The 24,035-nt window shown below is 42.3% G+C and overlaps 2 protein-coding genes across 6 annotated transcripts in view, besides 2 other annotated features; one reads left to right on the top strand and one right to left on the bottom strand.

Annotated features, from left to right (window-relative positions):
* On the top strand, positions 119-23,279 carry ACTR8 (actin related protein 8). Of its 5 annotated transcripts, XM_005265587.6 has the most exons (14): positions 119-292; positions 2,162-2,332; positions 3,804-3,914; positions 4,520-4,624; positions 4,884-5,057; positions 5,558-5,651; positions 6,191-6,323; positions 7,907-8,060; positions 9,144-9,239; positions 9,747-9,887; positions 10,775-11,039; positions 12,126-12,289; positions 13,409-13,597; positions 17,252-23,279. In XM_005265587.6, the coding sequence occupies exons 1-13, from the start codon at positions 170-172 to the stop codon at positions 13,550-13,552; spliced, it is 1,875 nt and encodes a 624-aa protein (XP_005265644.1). In that variant the 5' UTR covers positions 119-169; the 3' UTR covers positions 13,553-13,597; positions 17,252-23,279. The 5 variants fall into 5 exon arrangements, with proteins under 5 accessions (XP_005265644.1, NP_075050.3, XP_047305195.1 ...); NM_022899.5 differs by lacking the exon at positions 17,252-23,279 and having other exon boundaries at positions 13,409-15,205; NM_001410774.1 differs by lacking the exons at positions 119-292; positions 17,252-23,279 and adding an exon at positions 432-605 and having other exon boundaries at positions 13,409-15,205.
* Positions 153-232: an enhancer, noted in NCBI's record as "active region_19974". NCBI's record gives its function as "activates an Ori minimal core promoter by ATAC-STARR-seq in GM12878 lymphoblastoid cells {active_cell/tissue: GM12878}" and the evidence as "EXISTENCE:reporter gene assay evidence [ECO:0000049][PMID:35858748]".
* Positions 383-492: a silencer, noted in NCBI's record as "silent region_14468". NCBI's record gives its function as "represses an Ori minimal core promoter by ATAC-STARR-seq in GM12878 lymphoblastoid cells {active_cell/tissue: GM12878}" and the evidence as "EXISTENCE:reporter gene assay evidence [ECO:0000049][PMID:35858748]".
* The window catches only part of IL17RB (interleukin 17 receptor B), a 19,227-nt gene continuing 11,668 nt past the window's right edge, over positions 16,477-24,035 (bottom strand). Inside the window, exons 9-11 of the mRNA NM_018725.4 lie at positions 23,453-23,552; positions 22,043-22,141; positions 16,477-17,525 (exon numbers count right to left, since the gene is read on the bottom strand). Coding sequence (NP_061195.2) covers positions 16,963-17,525; positions 22,043-22,141; positions 23,453-23,552 — 762 coding nt within the window. The 3' untranslated portion in view covers positions 16,477-16,962. The remainder of the gene's footprint in view (positions 17,526-22,042; positions 22,142-23,452; positions 23,553-24,035) is intronic.

The raw sequence follows: 24,035 nt of genomic DNA, 5'->3' as shown, positions 1-24,035 counted from the left end.
CCCTGCGCCGGGCAGCCCCACCCCCGCCTTTTCGGAGCCCTCTGGGGCGACTCCGCGGCGGCCATCTTGACTGTGGGCAGCCGGCCGTGCGCCTGCGCGGTGGCCCTTCCATCCCGGCAGTCGTGGCTGCAGCGCTGAGGCGAGAGGTTGGTGGGTGTCTCCGGCCATAATGACCCAGGCTGAGAAGGGTGATACGGAGAACGGAAAGGAGAAGGGCGGCGAGAAGGAGAAGGAGCAGCGCGGCGTGAAGCGGCCCATCGTGCCCGCGCTGGTGCCGGAGTCGCTGCAAGAGGTGCGGCTCTGGCTGGGTTGGAACTCTTTGCCCTTGCTTGGGTCCTCCGCTGCCAGGCAAGGGGCGGGAGGCGGCGGGAGGCTTCGAGTCCCCCTTGCAGGCCCCAGCCCCTGGTGGGGGGAGTGCGGAAGCGGTCGTTCTTTTCCGGGTGGTGGCGCGCCGGGACGCCGAGGGCTGGGAGGTGCGGAGCGCCAGGAGCCAGGCGGAGCCCCCGCAGGGACACCGCTCCGATCTCCCGCACGCCCCACCGTCTGGTTGTGTGCGCTCCTGCCCGGGCTCTGGCCTCAGCTTCCCCGACCATAAAACGACCACGGTGATAACCAGCCGCCTCGCAAGTTGCCGTGAGGGTTAAATGGTGGCAGATAGAGTTTAGGACCAGGCTGGCTCACTGGGAGCGTCAGCCTGTGCTTGTTAAGGGATAGTTTGGGGTCCAGGCTTTTTCCTTTGTTAAGGAAATCTCAGATAATGGAAGTCATTTCAAGCTTAAAAGCAAGGAAATGGTGGACATTTGTCTAAATATATATTAAGAGCTTGTGTATCAAAAACAACACTATTAGACCAAACTAAACTAACCAGAAAAAATTATTTGCAGTAGCGTGCCTGGCAGAGGACCTTAGATGTATACACATACACAAAACCTTACTGATCAGTAACTAAAACAGCATTCACGTAGGAAAACGGGCACAGGCAGTGTACAATTCACAGAAGAAATGAGGCATAAACTGCTCAGAAATTCATGTAGGACATCTCTGATCCAGCTTCCTTACCGGTAGATGGGTTAAGGATAATACCTAACTAGTAGGGCAGCTACTAGTTAGTTATCACTAGTATGACAGTGCCTGGCACACCGTAAGCCCAGAGTGGCCATTACTGTTGCACAGGCCTGGTTTCTCCATCTGTCTAGTTGAGAAGGCTGACTGGATGGTCTGTAAGGGCCTTGCCAGATCCTTCCCTCTAGGATTCTCCCACTCTGTGGGGGGTGATTAGGAGGAGAGAGGTCACACTTGGAGATAGGACAACAGGTATCAGAGCATGGCATGGAATGGGCTTGTGCAGAGGGCAGTATTGGGCACTCAAGCAAGTACCTCCTCCATCCCCGACAGTCAGGGAGGGTTTCTTCAAAGGAGGTGAGGTGACATCTGTTTAGAGTCCTGAAGGTGATTAGGAGCTAACCAGAGGGAGGAGGGAATCTCAGGGAAGAAGAACAGTGTGGAAGACACTTGTGCCAACAGAGGATGTGAAGTGTTGGAGGCCCAGCCAGTAGATTAGGATGTCTGGAGTTAAGGAAGGGGACTGAAGATCTTAGCAGGGGCCATATCATGAGGGTCGTGTAAGCCACAGAGTCTGACCTCTTGTGAAGGCAGTGGATCACGTTGAAAGGCTTTACTATAGTAAGAGCCAACATTCCTCGAATGCTTCCTGTGGCCCAGCTCTGAGTTACATGTATAACTCATTTAATTCTCACAGTAACTGTGAGTTAGGAGCTTCATTCAGAGCAAGGAAGTGGCAGTCTGAATTTGCAGACAGATCCGTGAATTCAGAGCCTGGGCCCGGATTCTATAGCAACATTTCTTCAGTCACATAAATGCTCAATAACTGTATGTTAATTTGTAGTGGACAATTTTTGTTTCATTTATTTAAACAAATATTTGTTGAGCTATGTACTATAACTCAGGTCAAGGGAACATAATAAACAATGAGTTTGTGTTTAGGTAGAGAGCGGTAATTGGATACTTCTCAAAGAACTTTATTGAATTATTTTGATACCTTTGAGTCAGCTTCTTAGTTTAGCTTGTTATGTGTATGTTGTTTAACTTTGTTACCTGCATATTATTTACAAAGTCACACATCTATGTTTTATATCTGCAGCAAATCCAGAGCAACTTCATCATTGTCATACATCCAGGTTCAACAACTTTAAGGATTGGTCGAGCCACAGACACTCTTCCTGCCAGCATTCCTCACGTCATTGCCCGAAGACACAAACAACAAGGGCAGCCCCTATACAAGGACAGTTGGCTCCTAAGGGAGGGACTAAATGTAAGTCAAAAACGACCTGGAGAGAAAGCCTAAGGTTGTTTCCCTGGGAGGGCTTAGACACAAGTACACCAGAATCTTAAAGAAACATCTTCATAGCTTTGCTGTGTTTTAAAACATTAATAATGTCACTAATTTTTCATCAGAGCTAGTGACTTTAGATGTAAAGAATTAGTTACAACAAAAGTAAGTCTTTCAGGGTGAATTGAGTGTGGATGAAGGTGATCTATAATGGAAGACACAAAATCATCACTCACAGTAATACATTCAGGTCCTTGTTAACAGGCTTAAACTTATGGATTAAGCCATATTTAAACTGTAAATATCTCTTTCAGATACTTACAGTTTAAGTCAATAAGTCAAACTCTTATTTTCAATCCATTAGCAAATTAGATTGTTACAATAAGCACTTATTATGGTCTTAGATTAACCATAATTTCAAGGCAAAAAAAAAATTTTCTTGCAGTAAGCATCTACTTTATCCTATGTTGCAGATGGTAATTATCAGGAAAATTCTTTGTGATCAATGATAAATCTATATATTACATCATAATCCACATTTTACTTTGAAGTTTTAAGTCAAGGATAGTTTTGGGAATGTAAAGTTTCTTTAATTCTGATAGTAGGCCTTAGGGTTCCATTTTTTAGTGTAACAAGCAGACTCTACGTAAGTCTAGTTGTAAGTTTAAATATAACTTGCTGATATAAGAGTCCGCACTTCATTATTTATCTTTGGATCTTATAATTCTACTTTAGGGAGTACGTTTAAGAAATAAAAATCAAAAGAAAACATTTCTGTAAAGATATTTATGGGCATTTTCTTTATACTATAATAACGAGAACCAGTAAGTTTATGGCTTAACCAAAAAGTTTAAGCCTTGCTGATCAACATATGAAGGAATGTGTCATTGTCAAAACTGTAAACATAAGAATTATATAATTGTATGGAAGAGTCTCTGAAATATTTTTTAAACATGAAGTAGGTATGCTTTGATTAGTGCTGTGAGAAATTTTATGAAAAATCACTTGAAAATTTTGCATATAGTTGTTTTATAGTGAGGGCTGCTTTTGACTTATTTATAATAAAAGATTCCTGGGAATTCTTTTTTTCTTTTCTTGAGACAGGGTCTTGCTCTCTTCTTCAGGCTGGAGTACAGTGGTGCGATCTCGGCTCATTGCACCTTCCACCTCCTGGGCTCAAGCAATCTTTCCACCTTAGTCTCCCAAGTAGCTGGGACCACAGGCCTGTGCCACCACACCCAGCTAATTTCTTGTATTTTTTGTAGAGATGGTGTTTTGCCATGTTGCCCAGGCTAGAGGGAATTCTTAAGAGCAGTACATGTGATAAAGATTAAGGAAACGCTACTTGTTGATGAAGGAGCATTTCCAAAGATTGGATTAAATTAGTAGTTTTTGAATTGCTTTGTCTTCTCATTAAATCCTTTGTACTGCTCATCTTTCATTTTTTCCCCAGAAACCAGAAAGTAATGAACAAAGACAAAATGGCCTTAAAATGGTGGATCAAGCAATATGGTCTAAAAAGATGTCCAATGGTACAAGACGCATTCCTGTGTCCCCTGAACAGGTTCGATTAACTCTTCAGATTTATTCTTTTATCACCACTATTGGTATCATAATACCATTCACATGTTCTTCCTATACCACTATGCAAATACAAGATGGGAGTTCCTTAAAAAGGAAGAAAACCCCTCATAACCACTTAAAGAATACCCGAGTCAGTGTTACAAATGCTTAGGCAAGCCACATAATTTATAAGGTGGTGGTAGGCAAGTTGATGGAAGTTTATACTTTACCTGAGAAGGTGTGATTCCAGGATCTTGGTGGGAAACTGTTCTTACTACATTCTTCAATTTCATATGATAAACCAATATGATAGGAATGGACAGGAGTCTGTATTACATATAAATTTGAATTCAGCTTTAAGCAGCGTTTAGTGTTAATTTTGGACTGGCTGTGAATCACAGCCTAGGTGTTAAAATTGGGGGAAAAAGAACCCCAAGATTGTAAAAAGGACAAGAGAATCCTTTTGCAGCCAGTCAATATTTTGCCAAATATTTGTGATTAAAATTTGCCAATGTGTCTAGTATGTGAGAGAGAAGAAAAGGAGACCCTTATGTTGCCCCCGCCTTGAATAAATTGAGATAATTTTCTGATGGTTTTTCTTTTCAGGCACGCTCCTACAATAAGCAGATGCGACCTGCAATTTTAGATCACTGTTCGGGAAATAAGTGGACAAACACATCTCATCACCCTGAGTATTTAGTAGGAGAAGAGGTAAGAAACTTCTTTACAATAGAATGAAAGAAGGGGAAGCTGATCCTCCTCCTAAAATTCATTTACGTTGCCACCCAGTCCTAGTTGTTTCCTAGCGTTCTATAACCCTGCTTTGAGTACCAGATAGTCACACCGACTCCTACTTCACTCTCAACATTTCTCACATTCAGCAAACGTTAGTTAGATTTTTGGATATGAATCCAGAAAACCTTGAGAGAAAAGTTTTAACAAAGTACTCATCTCCCTCCTCCTTTTCTAGGCCTTGTATGTTAATCCACTGGACTGTTACAATATTCACTGGCCTATCAGAAGAGGTCAGTTAAATATTCACCCAGGCCCTGGGGGCTCTCTTACAGCTGTTCTGGCAGATATTGAAGTAATATGGTCTCATGCGATACAAAAATACTTGGAAATCCCACTGAAAGATTTAAAGGTGAGCTAAAATCCTCAGTTATTTGGATTGTTTTTAAGATTCTTGGTCAATGAAAGTACACGTTACCGAGTTGTTTGTAATATAGTGTCCTTCTTGAAACATTCTTGACCTTCAGGGTGAGGATTCTTGGTGGCATGAGGATGTCTTTTCTTCTTCACTTAATTCCCTTCTGGTGCTTTTTTTCTTTCTCTGTTTCTTTGGTGTCTCTATTACTCGAATCAGCAAGCTTGCTCATTTTTGTCTTCTCTTTGGACCTTACTGACACATCAGTTGTCTTATTTTTGATTTTACAAGTTTTTAAAAATTTCAAGGAAAAAAAAACACTTGAGCATTTTTTTTTTCCTTATAAAACCCAAAGGATAGTACAGAGGTTTGAGCTTTAATCTGGGTGTGTAACCGTAGCTGCTACTCCTTTGGAGGGAAGTCTCTCTAAAAAGGAGTGTGAATTTGACCTGACTAGACTTGAGTGCTAACCCTTTTATCTTTGTTCTTCTTTTTAGTATTATAGATGTATCTTGTTAATTCCTGATATCTATAATAAGCAGCATGTGAAAGAACTAGTGAATATGATACTAATGAAGATGGGTTTTTCAGGTATGTCTGATATCCCAGTGAAACCTATTTTAAATGGAATTTTCTTTCTTTAATGACAGAGTTAATCTTATTTACTGACTTATTTATTTATTTATTTATTTGAGACAGAGTCTCTCTCTGTCGCCCAGGCTGGAGTGCAGTGGCGCTATCTCAGCTCACTGCAAGCTCCACCTCCCGGGTTCACGCCACTCTCCTGCCTCAGCCTCCTGATTGGCTGGGACTACAGGCACCCGCCACCATGCCCAGCTAATTTTTTGTATTTTTTAGTAGATACAGGGTTTCACTGTGTTAGCCAGGATCGTCTCCATCTCCTGACCTCGTGATCCTCCCACCTTGGCCTCCCAAAGTGCTGGGATTACAGACGTGAGCCACCGCGCCGGGCCTACTGACTTATTTAAATGCTTATTCTGAAAGGATCAGTGTTCCTCAGATGCCCTGCCCAGAGGTCCCTAGGCTCCCCGCTTCAGCTGATTATCTGTTTTGGGATCTTTACCGTGCTACAGCTAATGACTACTCTGCCTTTTCTTTTCCCCCCCCAGGGATTGTGGTCCATCAGGAGTCTGTGTGTGCCACCTATGGAAGTGGCTTAAGCAGCACGTGTATTGTAGACGTTGGGGACCAGAAGACAAGTGTATGCTGTGTGGAGGATGGGGTGTCTCATCGGAATACTCGGTAAGGAACTTGGAAGGTGGCATTCCCTGTTTCCTCTTCCCTCATAATCTGTTCAACCGTAAATAATAAGAAATCACAGGTTAAAAATTATAAGATAACCATAAATTCAAAAGTCTGCATGGTAAACCAGCAAGATTATGGAAGTGCATATTCTAGCAAGGCTAAAACTAAAACGAATCATTTTACCCTTCCCATTGGAACTTCTTAATAGGAATTTACATCAGCAGCCCCTGAAAGTCCTGGGATGTTTTATGCGCTTTCCCATAGGGGAAACGTAAACAGTAGCTTCGTGTCTTTAGCTGTGGTTTGGCATAGAGCTACTAATCACATCCTTATAGCAGAGCTTTATTTAGGCAAGTCATGTAGGAGAAAATCGACCTTTTCAATCTGAATTCTCTGGCCAGTGTTTTGAATATCTGCATTTTTTGTCATAGTGGTGTTCTGCGGGTGAGTAACTTTATGATGATAGACAGGTAAAGAAAATAACTATCAGGACCAGATTTGCAGCTTGTCCTTCTTCAGGCAAGCCTAACATATGTAAGCACACTCAGGTAATGCAGGTATGGGCTCTCTGAAGCATTTTGTGCTCCAGAGATGGCTTCTTGCTGCCCCTCAGGATGCTTTCATTCTTCCCGTCCTCCACATTAGGTAGTTTGAGTCTTTAAAAGAGGGCTTAAATCGTCCATGAGAAAGGGTCATCTGCTGCCTCCCGCCCCAAGTTCTAGTACATTCTAAAATCCATTTTGAGTTATTTGGCTCATCCATTGTTAGAATATCCAATGCCACTTGTTCTCAAAGTGTGGAGAAAATGCTGGACCCAGGTTTCCTACCAATAAAATAATATAGCAGCTGTCTTCCCAAATTGTAGAAACCTTCAGTTAGTAGACAGCTTTCTCTAAGCTATTCTCCCATAAGTTTGTCTTATATTGTCATTGCTGCCTTACATGCTAGTGAGTGTAGACCACCAAACAACTGTCATATGATAAACACATATTGACTGGGAAGTAAGCTGGATTTAATGGGTGAGTATTGGGTTTCTCAGATACATTTTGCAAACATCATGACTACTGTAGGTGTTCCCCACTGGTTTTTGCTGAAGTTCCTTTTCTCCCTTCTTCCATCCATTCATTCTGGCCTTTCAACATACATTTCTTGAAACTTGCTATATATCACTGTGTTTAATGGACATTTTTGTTTGTTTTTTGTGTTTCTTTTTTTTTTTTAGATAGAATCTTACTCTGTCACCCAGGCTGCAGTGCAGTGGCGTGACCTCTTGGCTCACTGCAACCTCTTCCTCCTGGGTTCAAGCAATTCTCGTGCCTCAGCCTCCCGAGTAGCTGGGATTACAGGTGTGCACCACCATGCCTGGCTAATTTTTGTATTTTTAGTAGAGACAGGGTTTCGCCATATTGGCCAGCTGGTCTTGAACTCCTGGCCTCAAGTGATCTGCTCATCTCAGCCTCCCAAAGTGCTGGGATTACAGGCAGGAACCACCATGCCCAGCCATTAATGGATTTCTTCAAACACCTTTTGCACCTTCTTAACCAACAGATTAACCATCTACCCTTTTCTCTTAACTTTAGGCTTTGTCTGGCATACGGAGGATCTGATGTGTCAAGATGTTTTTACTGGCTAATGCAGCGAGCTGGGTTCCCTTACAGAGAATGCCAGTTAACAAATAAAATGGATTGTCTTCTTCTGCAACACCTTAAAGAAACTTTTTGTCATTTAGATCAGGTGGGAGCAGAATCAATATTGCTGATTATTTTTGTTTCTAGGAAAAATTTAAGAGATTTAAAAGATACTTAAAAATGTAACAGCATTGGCTGGGCACGGTGGCTCATGCCTGTAATCCCAGCACTTTGGGAGGCCGAGGTGGGTGGATCATGAGGTCAGGAGATCAAGACCATCCTGGCTAACACGGTGAAACTCCGTCTCTAATAAAAATACAAAAAATTAGCCGGGCGTGGTGGCGGGCACCTGTAGTCCCAGCTACTCGGGAGGCTGAGGCGGGAGAATGGCGTGAACCTGGAAGGTGGAGCTTGCAGTGAGCCGAGATTGCACCACTGCACTCCAGCCTCGGCGACAAAGCGAGACTCCATCTCAAAATAAATAAATAAATAAATAAAATGAAGTAACAGCATTATAATGCCTTTTTCAACCCACGATAAAGCCTGCAGGTGAAAGCCCTTAAGGAGTGAGAGTTTTTTGCTAAAGTCCGAGCAGTGAGGGTGTGTCTTAGGCTCAGGAAAAGTTTGATTTTTTTAGGGAACAAGTTTAGCAAATTTCTCTGTCTCATCCTGATAAAAGATGAAGATAAACCTTTAGGTGTAAGGAAGATAGTAGGTAAATATGTAAGAACAGACATTTTGTTAAATGTTATAATTTGAAGCACTTTCTTAATATTGCAAACAATCAATGTTTAATCATTGCTATATATGGATTGGTATCCTTTTTTTGTTTGAGACTTGTTTTTACTTTTTTCAGGTAATCTAAATATTAAAAAATTGGGGAAACAAAAATACTGTAAATTTCCCAGTTACTGAGGGAATTTGCTTATTGATTTGGGTCATTGTTGTACTAATGTATGTTGATAATGGAGAAAACAAATAATGCAAACAGTGGAAATTCCAGAAATGTTAAATAGGGGAACAAAGTACAACTTAATTCCTATTTTACTAAATTATAGTGTGAGTGGTACAAAGCTGTAGGTTGGCCTTTTTATAGGTGATATTTAGATGATGGTGAGGCTGAAGCATAATTTGAAGAGTTTACATGCATTCTTACTGATTCACTGACAGCATCTTTTCCTGGAATCAGGACATCTCTGGGCTTCAGGACCATGAGTTTCAGATTCGACATCCTGATTCTCCTGCCCTGCTTTACCAGTTTCGATTAGGAGATGAAAAACTGCAGGTAACTTATAGGTATCTGTTTCCATGGGTAGAAAGAAAGTTATCCAGGTTCAATCAAACTGAGAGAATATGCCCTTGCTGGAAACATTGTGAGATCAGAATGTCAACTGATTGTAGATTATCCACTAAACCAACATTTAAGCCACTGGTATAGACTAGAATGGATCTGAAGAATATCTTTCTATTTAGCCCCTATATGATGAGGTGTTAATTAGAAAGAAAGGTATCATTCTTACTAGGAAATTATGAAGTAGATTTTGAGGTACTTGATATTTGCTTTGAGATTTCTCTCATATGGTGTCATATCACCCATCTGGTTGGATGATGAGTGAGTTTTCTGGCCTATGGTGCACCAGAGAAATAATGCCACTCCCGAAAGAGAACATTGCCCAGTCTAACTTAGGGAATCTGATCTGCCAGTTTTGTTTTTAGAAGAACAGAATTTAGTGGATCAGTTTTTTTCAGGATGCAGTATCTTTTGTTGATCACTCTTTTTCTTCATGTACAGGCTCCAATGGCTTTGTTTTACCCCGCAACTTTTGGAATCGTTGGACAGAAAATGACGACTTTGCAGCACAGATCTCAGGGCGATCCTGAGGATCCTCACGATGAACATTACCTGCTGGCCACACAGAGCAAACAAGAACAGGTCCGTAGCAATTCTGGTAGGAGAAGAGAGAGTTTTGTCCCTGAAGGAGAAATTTGTCCAGAGTTAATAGGCCATTGTAATCAGTTCTATCTTCCAGCATAATAACACTGATATAGCTTTTAGAATTGTAGATGAACTGAAGTCTGAGTTTAAAATCTGGAAGACATATTTCTCTATTCAGCAAACATTAATTTTCTGAATGCTAGTCCATACATTTAAAAGTTAATGACACTTTCCTTTTGGTGTATATCATTTACTTACATTATCTACTTCTGAATATTTTTTCAGTAGTATTTTCATTAAAATCTCACCTGTTACTTAATTTTGTGAAAGATGTGTGGCATAGCCAAAGAGCTGAATTCCTTTGTTGAAAGTGGATCCCCATAATATGATGTCTGGTACAGGGGCACAAATTGAAGGTCTTGTCTGCTAATGAAACAGTACCAGCTCATGATGGAGACTAGATTTTCTAGTCTTTGTTCCTCCCCAGAGGCAGGCATGAGGTGGACTCATAGGATCTGAAAGTAAGAATTCCTTAACAGTCATGGCCCATGAATCCCACTGGAATACTCCATTTAAAAACTCAGGGCACGGGGAAGAAAGTCTGTCTGCACTGGTATTTCACTTTTAAAATCTAACCAGTGATGATAAGGTTCTGAGAGCTACCCTGCCTACCAGCAGCTACCTTGCTTTGGAATGGTCAAAGCATCTTCATCTGTGCACCGTCTCTCATTCCTAAGTTACCTGGGAATGGGTGCTGGGCAGTTGTTGTATTGCTGTGTGGCTTTTGTTTTATAGTAGTAGGGTAGGGAGGGATCTAGCTAGACAACATCAATAGTGTTCTGTTGTTGTAATACCACATACTTGATTGTCCTTTTGATTTAAAGTCTGCAAAAGCTACTGCTGACCGAAAGTCTGCATCCAAACCTATTGGATTTGAAGGGGATCTTCGTGGCCAGTCCTCTGATCTTCCAGAAAGACTCCATTCCCAGGAGGTAGATTTGGGGTCTGCACAGGGAGATGGCCTGATGGCCGGCAACGATTCCGAGGAGGCCCTCACTGCACTGATGTCCAGGAAGACTGCCATCTCGCTGTTTGAAGGAAAAGCCCTGGGCCTGGATAAAGCCATCCTCCATAGCATAGACTGCTGTTGTAAGCACATCTGGGGAGACCGGGAGATAGCAGTGAAACAAGATAGCAGTTAAATAAATTGGTTCAGTCTAGGATATACTTGTGCAGTATAACATATTCATTGAAAAGTGATTAAGCGCCTACTTGGCTTGCATTGCCAGGTGTTGGGAATACATTAACGAAGTAGGATGGGTTTATAGCCTAGTGGAAGAGGCCAAAATAAGTCAGATTATTACACAAATGTGAAATTACCACTGGCAGGCCACTACTAAGCAGTCAGTACCCTTTAGATAAACTTTGTAGCACCTGCCAGTGGTACTTTCACATTTGTGTAATAATTTGAGGAATTTCACATAGAATCTTTACTCACTAGGGGATGGTATGGAAGGTGGGAGGCAGGGAAAGCTTCCTTGAGGAAGGCAGACCTTGAGAGAGATGTAAAGGATGAAAGGGGTCAGTTAGCAGTCACAGATGGGGTAGAGGAAGAAGCCTGTGAAGACCTGTGTGGCTGGGAAGCAGGGTGTGAGGATGAGGCTAGAGAAGCAGGGGACGACCACCCGTAGTGGATCTTGTGGGTCCCTTTAAAGATTTTATTTATTTATTTTTCAGAGTCTCACTCCATTGCCCAGGCTAGAGTGCAATGGCGTGATTGCGGCTCACCACAACCTCTGCCTCCTGGGTTCAAGTGATTCTCCTGCCTCAGCCTCCCGAGTAGCTGGGACTACAGGCGCACGCTACCATGCCCGGCTACTTTTTGTATTTTTAGTAGAGACAGGGTTTCACTATGTTGGCCAGGCTGGTTTCGAACTCCTGACCTCGTGATCTGCCTGCCTTGGCCTCCCAAAGTGCTGGGATTACAGGCGTGAGCCACCATGCTCGGCCTCCTTTAAAGATTTTGATCCTAATCCTGCAAGTAGGATTGCGGTGGCGTGGCAACATGCCTACATTTGTGTTTCGTAGGGTTCCCCTGGCTGCAGTGTGGAGGGTGGGCTGGAGGGAAATCTTTGAGAAGGCTATTGCACTTGCTCAAGCAAGAGGTGTTGGTGGCTTGGCCTAGAATTATGGATGTGGAGAAAAAAGCATGGAGGATGTCAACTGTCTTTTCAGCATCTGACGACACCAAAAAGAAGATGTACAGCTCCATCCTAGTGGTGGGAGGTGGTTTGATGTTTCATAAAGCTCAAGAATTTCTGCAGCACAGAATTCTCAACAAAATGCCACCATCCTTCAGGCGAATTATTGAAAATGTGGATGTGATCACAAGGCCTAAGGTAGGTTGTTTCATTGTGCAAGTTGGACTGTATGCAAATGAAACCAGCCTTGTATGTGGACAGATCAAATCCTGGGAGGCATGGGCTTGTGTCTGAGGAGTTCTTGAGGGCTTAGGGCAAGTGGAAAAGTTAATTTCAGCAAGCCATAGATGTGGTGGAAGGTGCTCTGGCCTAAGGTACTGGATTTCTGCTGCTTTCCCCTGCCGTGCTCCCCAAACTAGCATGACTGAATTCCACCTTTGTTAAAGGATCAGGTGGGGCAAGGGGAGGACCAACTGCTCTCAAGCCCTGCCAGCCAGAACAGCTCCATTTTAATCTCTTTTTTATATTAAGGATCTCCTTCTGCTCCCTGGACCAGATGATCTTTAAGGATCTTTTTGGTTTGAACTATCTTGAAAAGAAAGATAAACCCAGGAATTTAGAAATAGATTTTGTGTGTTTTATTAAATCTCACTGACAATTCCTGGAAATGTTCCTATTTCTTTTTAATCCTGAGGGAGGGATTGTGGGGATCTATTTATTCCACTCAAACTGCGAAATAAGTAAGTCATTTATTTATATATGTTCCTGTGTACAGGGTAAATAGGGTATTTGTGCAATAGTAGTAAATAGTAGCATCTTCAGTTATAAAAATTTAAAAGTTTTCTTGGCTATTGAAACAGAAAGATGCCTGTAGTTCATAAGTCCTACTGTCTTTTTTTGAGACGGAGTCTCACTCTGTCACCCAGGCTGGAGTGCAGTGGCGCGATCTTGGCTCACTGCAACCTCTGCCTCCCGGGTTCACGCCATTCTCCTGCCTCAGCCTCCTGAGTAGCTGGGACTACAGGTGCCTGCCACCACGCCTGGCTAATTTTTTGTATTTTTAGTAGAGGCGGCATTCCACCGTGTTAGCCAGGATGGTCTTGATCTCCTGATCTCGTGATCTGCCCGCCTCGGCCTCCCAAAGTGCTGGGGTTACAGGCGTGAGCCTGTATTTAATCCTGCTGTCTTTAATACAGGGTGAAAGCCTGGCTTACTAGGTATTGACTCAGCAGGGATTTTTCTCGGCCCCATATTCAAGTAAATGATTGAGTATATGTCTTATGTGATTAGGCTGAAATGCCTTCATCCCTTCTGTAGGACATGGACCCCCGGCTGATTGCATGGAAAGGAGGGGCAGTGTTGGCTTGTTTGGATACAACACAGGAACTGTGGATTTATCAGCGAGAGTGGCAGCGCTTTGGTGTCCGCATGTTACGAGAGCGGGCTGCGTTTGTGTGGTGAATGGGGAGGAAATGTCACTGCCGAAGACCAAAAACAAGCTTCTTGGTATAAAAGACTCTTACAGAATATGTGTATTGTAATTTATTGATCTGGATGCTTAAGTGTCATGGACAGTAAATGAATTTGAACTTTATGTTGAGGACATGACATTGGTTTGAAAATATAAACTGCTTTTGAGCAGTTTAGTCAGGGCATTTGAGAATAAATAGGAACTTTCTCTTCAGTTGTAAACTCTCTTGCCCTCTCTCAGGGTCTCATAAACTCCCCAGTGATGTAAACGTTGCTATTGAAGGTTCTCATGTGGTGAAGCCCTTCATTTAAGTTGGCTTGAATCTCATCAGCAGGCAGCCTCATGCAACCATGAGGGATAGTATGTGACGAGGGAGAACTGTCCACTCATGCCATTTTCTCTCTTGTCTAGTATTTCATTAGGATCTAAAGTTGTCTGAGTTAAATGCACTTATGTGACTCATGTGTCCTCTTAGAATCCCAAATAGGGGGAAAAAGTTTTGGTGGTTTTTGTTTTTTTTTTCATTTTCTGTTGGATTACAGAAAAAGAATGGGACCCATTCAGGTCTCGATTTCCAAAGGTAAAGATGGAAGGCTGGGCAGACTGGCTTTTGTTACCTGACATGCCGTAGGGTGAGCTTAGAGGAAGAAAGAAAACAATTTTTATTTGGCCAAAACAGAACAAATGCTGAAAAGGAAATCTTGTTTTTTTCCTAAAGCCAAATAGAAATGATTTGGGTATAATTTAAGAGTCCTTGTGTTGTACAGATATGGTGACTGATGTAGTTATTAATACTACCAACTTAGTCATCAAGCCTCAATTTTCCTTTACCTGAAGGATTAAGTGAAAGCTTTTGGAGTTCATGATGTTCAGTATGATCAGTTAACCTTAACCTCTGAGCATCCTGAAGCAAAATCTAAATAATGCAGCTATTACCACTGGTGGTCCAGGCTCTGGTGAAGCCCTCTGAGCCCAGGAGGAAGAGAAAGCATTGTCCAGAGGTAGGAACACAGTCTGGGAGCCCAGAGCTCTGGGAGGAGTGGGAAAATGCTGCTTCCTGCTGCTTGCTTCTAGGCACCTGCTTCCGCCATCTCACTTACCATGGCTAGAGATGGGGGTGAGACTGGGGAAGGACAAAAGCAGGGAACAGATAAGTGATGGAAATCAGAAGGGAATATAGAAAGAACTCTGGATGTGGAGAAATGCCGGTACCTGAGCATTTTGTATCAATGGGAGTACCCTCTGTAACTGCTCAGTAGGTTACAAATGAAGAGTCCACCAGTATTAGAAACAATTTAAACTTGCCAGTACCAACTGGGATGTGTGCCTTCAATTTGAAAATTGTATGTTTTATTTTTTAAATTTGTTAACAGCATTAATTTATAGAGTATTGATGTCATTTATGTTTCTGAGGTGTTTCAACACAATTTTGGATCAGCTGCCTGTTTGCAAAAACATAATATATTTCTGTTAAACAGTTCTTCACCTAACAGCATATTGCTCTTATAACTGGTAGAGCTGTTTCAAAGGAAGTTGGTTTCTGGTCCAAGTTTTGACCTAAACCATGTCCATCTTCTATTACCAGCACTTACAAGCACTGTGAAAACTGATCATGACAAATAAGTAAAATTTGCTACATTAAACATATTGCCTCAGCCATTACTAAGCGTCCACTTGTAAAGCTGGACACAGTTTTTACTTTATGCTTCATTTTGATTTTTTATCCGTAAGACATAAATTAGAAGGCATGAGGTGGCCCTTTAAGGATAATCTGCAAATATACACATTTTAATAGTCATCCATCTGAAATCGATCCACATTCCAGAGAAGATTCAGTATTGTGCTGTGTGAAATAAGCATTCCCAGAAAAAAAACATTTATGCTAATAATACAACATAACCTCTGCATTAAAGAAAAAGATGCTTTTAGGCCAGGCGCCGTGGCTCACACCTGTAATCCCTGCACTTTGAGAGGCTGAGGTGGGTGGATCATGAGGTCAGGAGATCAAGACCATCCTGGCTAACAGGGTGAAACCCCGTCTCTACTAAAAATATAAAAAGTTAGCTGGGTGTGGTGGTGGGTGCCTGTAGTCCCAGCTACTCAGGAGGCTGAGGCAGGAGAATGGCGTGAACCCGGAAGGCAGAGGTTGTAGTGAGCCGAGGTCACGCCACTGCACTCCAGCCTGGGTGACAGAGTGAAACTCTGTCTCAAAAAAAAAAAATTTAAAAAATTTAAAAAAGATGCTTTTAGAAGAGTAAAAAGTTGGAAGACAAAATGTGCATCTTTTATGTTCTGTCATTCTGTGGGGGTTTTTTCGTTTGTTTGTTTTAGACAGGGTCTGCTCTCACCCAGGATGGAGTGCAGTGGCACAATCACCGTTTACTGCACCCTTGACCTCCAGGGCTCAAGTGATCCTCCCATCTCAGCCTCCCTAGTAGCTGGGACCACAGGCTTACACCATCACACTCAGCTAATTTTTTAAATCTTTTGTAGAGATGGAGGTCTCGCTTTGTGACGTAGCCTGGTCTTGAGCGATCCTTTTGCCTTGGCCTTGCCAAAGTGCTGGGATTGGAGGCATGAGCCACTGCACCCACCCCTGTTTTTTATTTAAGTAAACCATTATAATAACTCATTTATAAAAAGGTTACTTCAAGAGGGCTTTCAACTTAAGAATTATTTTCATTTTGAACATGAAAAGTTAAATAGTAACTAAGAAACTGAGAACTCTGACAGTGACCTCTAATAGGTAACTTTAGGCAAAAGTAGACAAGTTTGTGGGTATTTTGTTGTTCATGTTAAAAGGCACCTGTACAAGAATCAAGATATGAATCTAGTTTGTAGAGGGAAGGTCTTATGCAAATACCAAATCATACAAGTGGTTACACATATAATAGATCATTTGGTCCAGTAAAAGTGGGTTCAGCTTGTTTATTCCCTACTTTTGTTATCTTAAAAACAATGATTTTTTGCATGTAATAGAAGGTTTTTCACTTAAGATGCTATTGAGTGAATCAGTGAGGGGTTCTTAGAGTTAGTATTCATTAATTAAACATAGAATATTAGCTAAACAGTTCTGGGTACACTGCAATGCATGGTCTATGGAAGACTAGATGTTTGGCTGAAGATGCTTTATTGTTGCATTATCAAAATGGTTATAGTTTTCAATTAAAACTGTAATTGATTTCTATGTATAAAACAGCTTTGAAGTTGTAAATGTAGTTTCCAATCGTTAGTTAATGCTACATTAGTTAGCAATATTTGAAAATTTTATTGGTATAAAATGTTTTAATTACTAAGGCTGTTTGTAGGCTGCATAGTAAGCTTCAGGATCATCACACGTTTTTTCCCTGTAATTGGTGGGATAGGAAGCCTTTAAGGTCTCTTGCTTCTCATGGGTGGGCTACAAGGAGCAGCAGCCATCGTGGCAGGCTTGTGATCTTTTTCCTGCTGACACCTGCTGCTTGACATGGAGAAGTTCTGCACAGAAAGCAGTGGCATCCTTCATGAGGTGGTACTTGGGGCAGACACTGAGAGCATTGTAATCGTCTTTTGTATCAATCTCTCTAAAGTAGACCACCACGTATTTGTGCAGATGAATCTGGCTTCTTAGATCACTGCAGAAAAGGTTAAAGGCAAGGGGGAAGAGGTCTTGAGAGTTCTCACTGGGACTGCCCTCGCTCTTGCCACAGGTACCATCGCACACACTGTTGACGTCATTGGAAAGAAGGAAGACGACTTTGTCTGCTGCCTTCTTTTGAGTGGCAAGCCACTGCACTGGACCCATCTCTGCTATTTTCTTTTTCTGCCACTTTTCAAGGATGACCTCACTTCTGCAATGGTTTTGAAGAAATTCAGTGAAGTAACAAATTGTGTGATGGAAACATATTTCAGATGGGTAAACCACAAGAACCTTAATGGGGGGCAGTAGTGTGGTGGTAGAAAAGGAAGTCTTCTTGATCCTTTCTGTGAGAGGAGAAAAGCATTTGTTATCTGTGAACAGCAAACAGCAGGCTTTCACTCTGTAAACCATCCCTGACAAATGATCCCTTGCTAGAGAATGTCAGCTGAGCACCAAGGGCCTTGTTAGTGACAGCAAGGAAAAACATCCTGATGTTCCTTTTGAACACATCACCTGAAACACACTGATGCTTAAACCTTAACTTTTTTTTTTTTGGAGACATAGTCTCACTCTGTCGCCCAGGCTGGAGTGCAGTGGCGTGACCTCGGCTGACTACAACCTCCGCCTCCTGGGTTCACGCCATTCTCCTGCCTCAGCCTCCCGAGTAGCTGGGACTACAGGCGCCCGCCACCACGCCTGGCTAATTTTTGTACTTTTAGTAGAGACGGGGTTTCACCCTGTTAGCCAGGATGGTCTCGATCTCCTGACCTCGTGTTCCGCCCGCCTGGGCCTCCCAGAGTGCTGGGATTACAGGCGTGAGCCACCGCACCCTGCCTTAAACCTTAACTTTTTAAACCTTATTTTAAAAGCAGTATTTTCTAAGTCCCTCTCACTAAAACAATCCTCTCAACCAAGCCTTCTCTTTTCAGATAAATTCATAGAAACTTTAGGTTTAAGATACTTTGTTGGCCAGGTGTGGTGGCTTACACCAGGAATCCCAGCACTTTGGGAGGCCAAGGCTGGTAGATCACTTGAGTCCAGGAGTTCCAGACCAGCCAGGGCAACATGGCGAAACCCCATCTCAACAAAAAGTACAAATATTAGCTGGGCTTGATGGCATGCATCTGTGGTCCCAGCTACTCAGGCGGCTAAGGTGGGAGGTTCACTTGAGCTCAGGAGGCAGAGGTTGCAGTGAGCCAAGATCACACCATTCCACTCCAGCCTGGGCAACAGAGTGAGACCCTGTCTCAAAAAAAAAAAAAAAAAAATACTTTGAGGTGTGTGATTGTAACCTCAGTACTTTTAGTGCTGTATATGAACAGGGACACTTGACCTCTGCACTTCACATTTTGAGTCGGGTCAATTAGGTAGTTGCTTGTACTGTCTTCTACCTGCAGGTGGTAGAGTTTCTTTATAGTTCCCAAAGTTAAGTGGCACCCCTTTTCAGCCCCTGGAACTTAACCTGGAATTCTGCCCTATACGGTGCTGTAAAACAAACCATGTTTGAAACTACTGTAACGAATACAGGTCAGACAGCATCCCTAAATGTAAGAATTCCTGAGGTCCAGGTGCCCCTGTGGCTTTCTTAGCTTAGAACATGGAGTTAATCTCATTTTATTTACAACATCACAAATGACTCAAAGGATGCATTTGTATTTCCTTTCCTACATATGGAGAAGAGGAGTTTTTTTAATAGCTCTGCCTTGAGCTGAGTATGTAAATGCTCTGGTTTCTGTATTCAAATACTCCATGTTTTGAAGTTAGCAAAGCCCTTAGAGAGTACAGCTGACCCTTGAACAACACAGTGGGGAGGGGCACCGGCCCTGCATGCAGTTGAAAATCTCCTATAACCTTTGATTTTCCCACAACTTAACTTCTAATAGCCTACTGTTGACTGGAAGTCTTACCAATAACATAAACAGCCAATTAACACATATTTTGCATGTTATGTGTATTATGTGCTGTATTATAATAAAGTAAGCTAGAGAAAAAAATGTAATTAAAATCATGAGAAAATATATTTACTAATTCATTAAATGGAAGTGGACCATCAGAAAGGTCTTTATTCTTGTCATCATCTTGTTGAGTAGGCTGACGAGGAAGAGGAGGAAGGGGTTAGTCTTGCTGACTTAGGGGTGGCAGAGGCAGAAGCGGTGGAAGAGGAGGCAGGAGAGGTGGGCGCCTCAGTGTAACTTTACAGAAAGACATCATAATTTCTGGCTTTTTTGCTTTTTCATTTTTCTAAAAATATTTGTATATGGTACCAATCCTTCCTCCACCACTTGCTTTAGGTTTAATGCTTGTATCATAGAAGGGTCTGTGTTACAAAAGAAGTGAAAAGCAGTCTTGACTAATCAGAAACCTGCCAGATTGTTTAATGTCGATTTGTTTTCTGATGCTGCTGCTTCTGTGTCGTCTTCATCATCACCTCACACTGATGGGGAAGCACTCGTCTCCAGCAGGTTGTCTTCTCTTTGTTCCTCTAGTGTGGTTATCTGTTAGCTCTTGAATTTCTCCAAGATCCGTATCTTGAAACCCTTCACCCCCCACCTTTTTTGCCACATCTACAATCTCTTTCCTTGATTGGCTCTGTTGTAAATCCTGTGAAGTCATGCACATCATCTGGACAGTTTTCTCCTGCAGGAATTTATTGTTTCAGGCTTGATGGCTTTCATGGCTTGCTCTGTCACAATGATGGCATCTTCAGTGATGTAATTCTTCCAGACTTCCATGTTGTTCTCTCTGTTGGTGTTCTCGTCCATAGTGTTGACAATCCTTTCCATAAAGTACTGTGTGTAATGAGCCTTGAAGGTCCTTATGGCCTCCCAATCTAGAGGCCAAATTATGATGTGTTTGGGGGCAAGGAGACCACTCTGAGGACTTTAGTGTTGAACTCATGGGGCTCTGGGTGGCTGGGGGCATTGTCCAATATCAAAAGAACTTTAAAAGGCAGTCGCTTCCTGGGAAGGTACTTCTGACTTCAGGGACAAAGCATCAGTGGAACCAATCCAGAAAAGTTTTCTCAGTGTCCAGGCCTTCTTATTGTACAACCAAAAGATTGGCAGCTGGTGTTTATCTTTTCCCTTCAAGGCCAGGGGGTTAGCAGCTTTATAGATAAGGCCAGTCCTGATCATAAACCCAATTGCATTTGTACAAAGCAGTCCAGTTAGCCTGTCCCTTCCTGCCTTAAATCCTGATGCATGCTTCTCTTCCTTACTAATCAATGTCCTTTGTAGCATTTTTTTCCCAGAAGAGGACACTTTCATCTGCACTGAAAACCTGTTCAGGCAGGTATCCTTTCTCCTCAGTGATTTTCTTAATGGCATCCGGGAACTCACCTGCTGCCTCTTGGTCAGCAGAAGCTGCTTCTCCTGTTATCTTGACAGTTTTTAAGCCAAACCACTTTTAAAAATTATCAAACCATCCTTTACTGGCATTAAATTCTCCAGCTTTAGATGCTTCACCTTCCTTTTGCTTTAAGTTGTCATATAATGACTTTGCTTTTTCTCAAATCATATTAGAGTCTACAGATATGCCTTTCTTACAGCAATCCTGCACCCACATAAAAGCTACATTTTCAATACAAGATTAAAAGGTATTCTGCAAAATGTGCAAGGTTTTCATGTCTGCTGGTGTAGCTGTAGTGATGGCTTCATGAATTTTTTTCTTTTTTGACTATGGTCCTTACGCTGGATTCATTTATCTTGAAATGGTGAACAATCACAGCTGCAGACCCTCAATTTATGGTACATATCAAGCAATTTGGCTTTTTTTCTTGTAATGAAAAAAAAAAGTTTTTTTTGCTTTTTTTCATGACACTGCTTCTTGGGAGCACTGCCAGCATTACTAGTGGCACTTCGTATGGGTCCTAAGGTGTTATTGAAGGTTTACGATATTGCACTAAACACGAAAAATACCAGAGAACCACTGGAGATACTTTTTACTGTGATATGTAATTTACTGGAGACAGGAACTGCTCGTTTGGAGATGGTTAGCATCACAGGGTGTTTTAAGTCGATACTTGCAACCCTTGAGCTCACCACAGTAGCAACAGGAGGTGGCTAGGAAATTATTCACAGCAGGACAGTACGCACTGCAATTAATTGTATGCAGTTATGATTTAATACCACATCTTTATGCTCACGTTTCTCTCAACTGTGAATGGTGCCATGTACAGTTGGTATGTGTGTGTTTAAGTTTTGATAAATTTTTAACTTTTAATAGTTAAAATAGTTAACTATTGGTATGGTAGGAAATGATAAAGTAGACTAGTATCTGTATACATTTTCTGCATTTATGACATACCTTTTTCTTCATTTTTTTCAATATTTTAATTGAAAAGTTCATCCGAGTTTCATCTAAGTTTTTTCAAAGTGATACAAATCTCCAAAAAATTTTCCAATATATGTATTGAAAAAATCCAGGTGTAAGTGGCTCTGCGCAGTCCAAACCTGTGTTGTTCAAGGGTCAACTGTGTATGAATCCAAGCGAAAGCTTTTCTTAACACCTCATAAGAACTATTTTTTAAAAAACAGGAACTAGCATAGAGTAACCATCACAGGTAAAGTGTAATTTGTTATCAGCCATCTTTTGCCCATTTCAGTACTGGTAGAAGGCTCAATGGTAAAAATAAAAACGGGACAGTCAGAAGATCTGGAAGTCCTGACCCTGCTTTCACCTGGCATGTGTAATCCAGTCATGCTCGTATCAGTCTCTGTAGGAGCACTTGAAGGTATTACATAAATGCTATCTAACTCTGGGAAACGCCAACATGTGATTGCCTCCAGAGGAATCTTCTTTAAAAAAAAATTCAAAATGTTATTTCCTTACTAGGATGTCTTTAAAGAATTATAACCCTTACCGTGCCTCCACATTAGATAGATCCCTGCCACCAGCACCCATGTGGCCACCAGCAGAGACAGCAGGAGGAGAGGCAGCCAGCCTCCCGGCTTGCTTTTGTCTGGAAAAAACAAAGCTTATTCACCTTTGGAAAACAAATCCACACTTATCTCTTAATTTAAAAACTAAGACTTGGTATACTTTATAGAGGTTTATTTATTTTTTATTATTTTTTAGTTTTGAGACAGAGTCTCGCTTTGTTGCCTAGGCTGGAGTGCAGTGGCGCAATCTCGGTTCACTGCAGCCTCCGTCTCCCGGGTTCAAGCAATGCTGCCTCAGCCTCCTGAGTAGCTGGGATTACAGGCATGTGTCACCGCGCCCAGCCACTTTGTAGAGATTTAGATCCCTTTAAAACCATCAGTCAGAAGCTCTTTAGAGAGTCTGCCAATCATATCTTTTTCCCTAGAGTGTGCAGGTCTTGCATTAGATTCTCAAAAGGGATATGGGACCCAGGAAGTTAAGAACAGTCCTAAAATCTCTTTGGCTTCTTTGTCCTGATATGCACCGGCATTTTCACAGTAGGAACTAGGGTTTCTGTCCAGTTTTTTTGGTTCTTTAAGGAATTAATGTTATTCTGGGTACAACTGCTTACATACATAGCACATATAGATGACATTTTTACAGGCCGTCTTGTTAGACTGACATACATGGAGGATAGTGCCACCCGCCTCACAAGAACATCAGGTAAGCTCAGGCACAGAGTGCCCAGGAATCTGTAAGGCTTCGCCCACGCACAAGTCAGGGCTGCCAGTCACCTGGGTTGTCTTCACTTTATTTGGCTGCGTCTAATGACACCTTCCAACTTTTGACCCCACCCCTGGACTGTTGTGTAAACATTGTATTTCTCCATCTGTAATGAAAAAGCTAACACATCTCTAACTCCAGAGACATTTTCCAGAACATGCTGTTCTCAGGCACTAGTGAGGCGGTACCATTATTCCTCATTTGTTATCCAAATGTTGGCCATGTGACCACACCAAAAGCTCATCCTGGGCCACTGAGACTGGTAATTGAATCAGAATATAGTGAAATATTCATTCTCATATATACCCAGCCATCTTACATCTTTGGCTTTTTTCAGCAGATCCTTGTGGCACTCAGAACATCCATTTTGCACTGTGTATTTTTTTCCCTTCTGTGTATCCTGCTTTGTAAAGAGTCACGAGTGGTTTTACAAATAAAGCCTGTTCTTACTCAGATTCTAGGTTCTCTGGGACAGCACTGTTGGCTTTCTCTGCACCCCAGTTCAGTGTACACAGGCAGCGACCCCTTGCACTGCCCACATACACACAACCCTTCCACATACTGAGTGGGGGGCAGTGACTGTGTGTGAGCCACTTTGATCATCTGGTTGAAGTTACTGGGCACTTACTGTTATCCAGAGGGAAAGGGACGCCTGTTTGTGGGCAGAGCACAACTGTTCCTTTATGTCGGATGCAGTCGCTGCCACAAGTAGGAAAATATGGAGTCAGCTGAGGAAAAACAAGAGGCTCAGAAAGTTCACACCATGCATCAGAGCAAAATCTCACCAAGACTCCTACTTCAGCCAAAACTTCCCTTCTTTCTGGCTTCGCCCATACCTCTAGTGTTGTCATGCACATTTTCCCCTTGGTCACACATCTGTAACAAAGCCCTAAAGTCAAAACCAGTGACCCGAGACCCACGTGCCCAAGACTCCCGGGGTCTGAACCTAAACTTTGTACACGTTACTAACATACCAGTTCGCTTACCTAAAAGGGCTAGGTCATATCTTACCACGTAGACAAACATTTCCTCTAGAAAAAAGGAGCAGCAGTGATCCTCTTGGCTTCCTTCAGCCAGTGCTTTAGGACATGCAAGTCCCTGTAGTAAGGGAAGTCTATGGTTCTCCAGAAAAGGGTAGTAGCCATCATACCCTGGCTGGTGCCTGCCCCCTCTGGTGTGTTTGAGCACTTTTTATGCCAGGGAATGAAGCA

This window comes from Homo sapiens, chromosome 3 (genome assembly GCF_000001405.40).
Source record: "Homo sapiens chromosome 3, GRCh38.p14 Primary Assembly".
Taxonomy (NCBI): Eukaryota; Metazoa; Chordata; class Mammalia; order Primates; family Hominidae; genus Homo; species Homo sapiens.
The sequence above is the reverse complement of the archived record's forward strand: the minus strand, read 5'-3'. Positions and strand labels throughout refer to the sequence as shown.

What these genes read in the sequence shown, in the direction of transcription:
- ACTR8 (XM_005265587.6), top strand. Translation starts at nt 170, where the DNA reads ATGACCCAGGCTGAGAAGGGTGATACGGAGAACGGAAAGGAGAAGGGC. An exon ending in TCCCACTGAAAGATTTAAAG is followed by an intron (nt 5,058 to 5,557) that starts GTGAGCTAAAAT and finishes TCTTCTTTTTAG; the next exon opens with TATTATAGATGTATCTTGTT. An exon ending in GTGTCTCATCGGAATACTCG is followed by an intron (nt 6,324 to 7,906) that starts GTAAGGAACTTG and finishes TCTTAACTTTAG; the next exon opens with GCTTTGTCTGGCATACGGAG.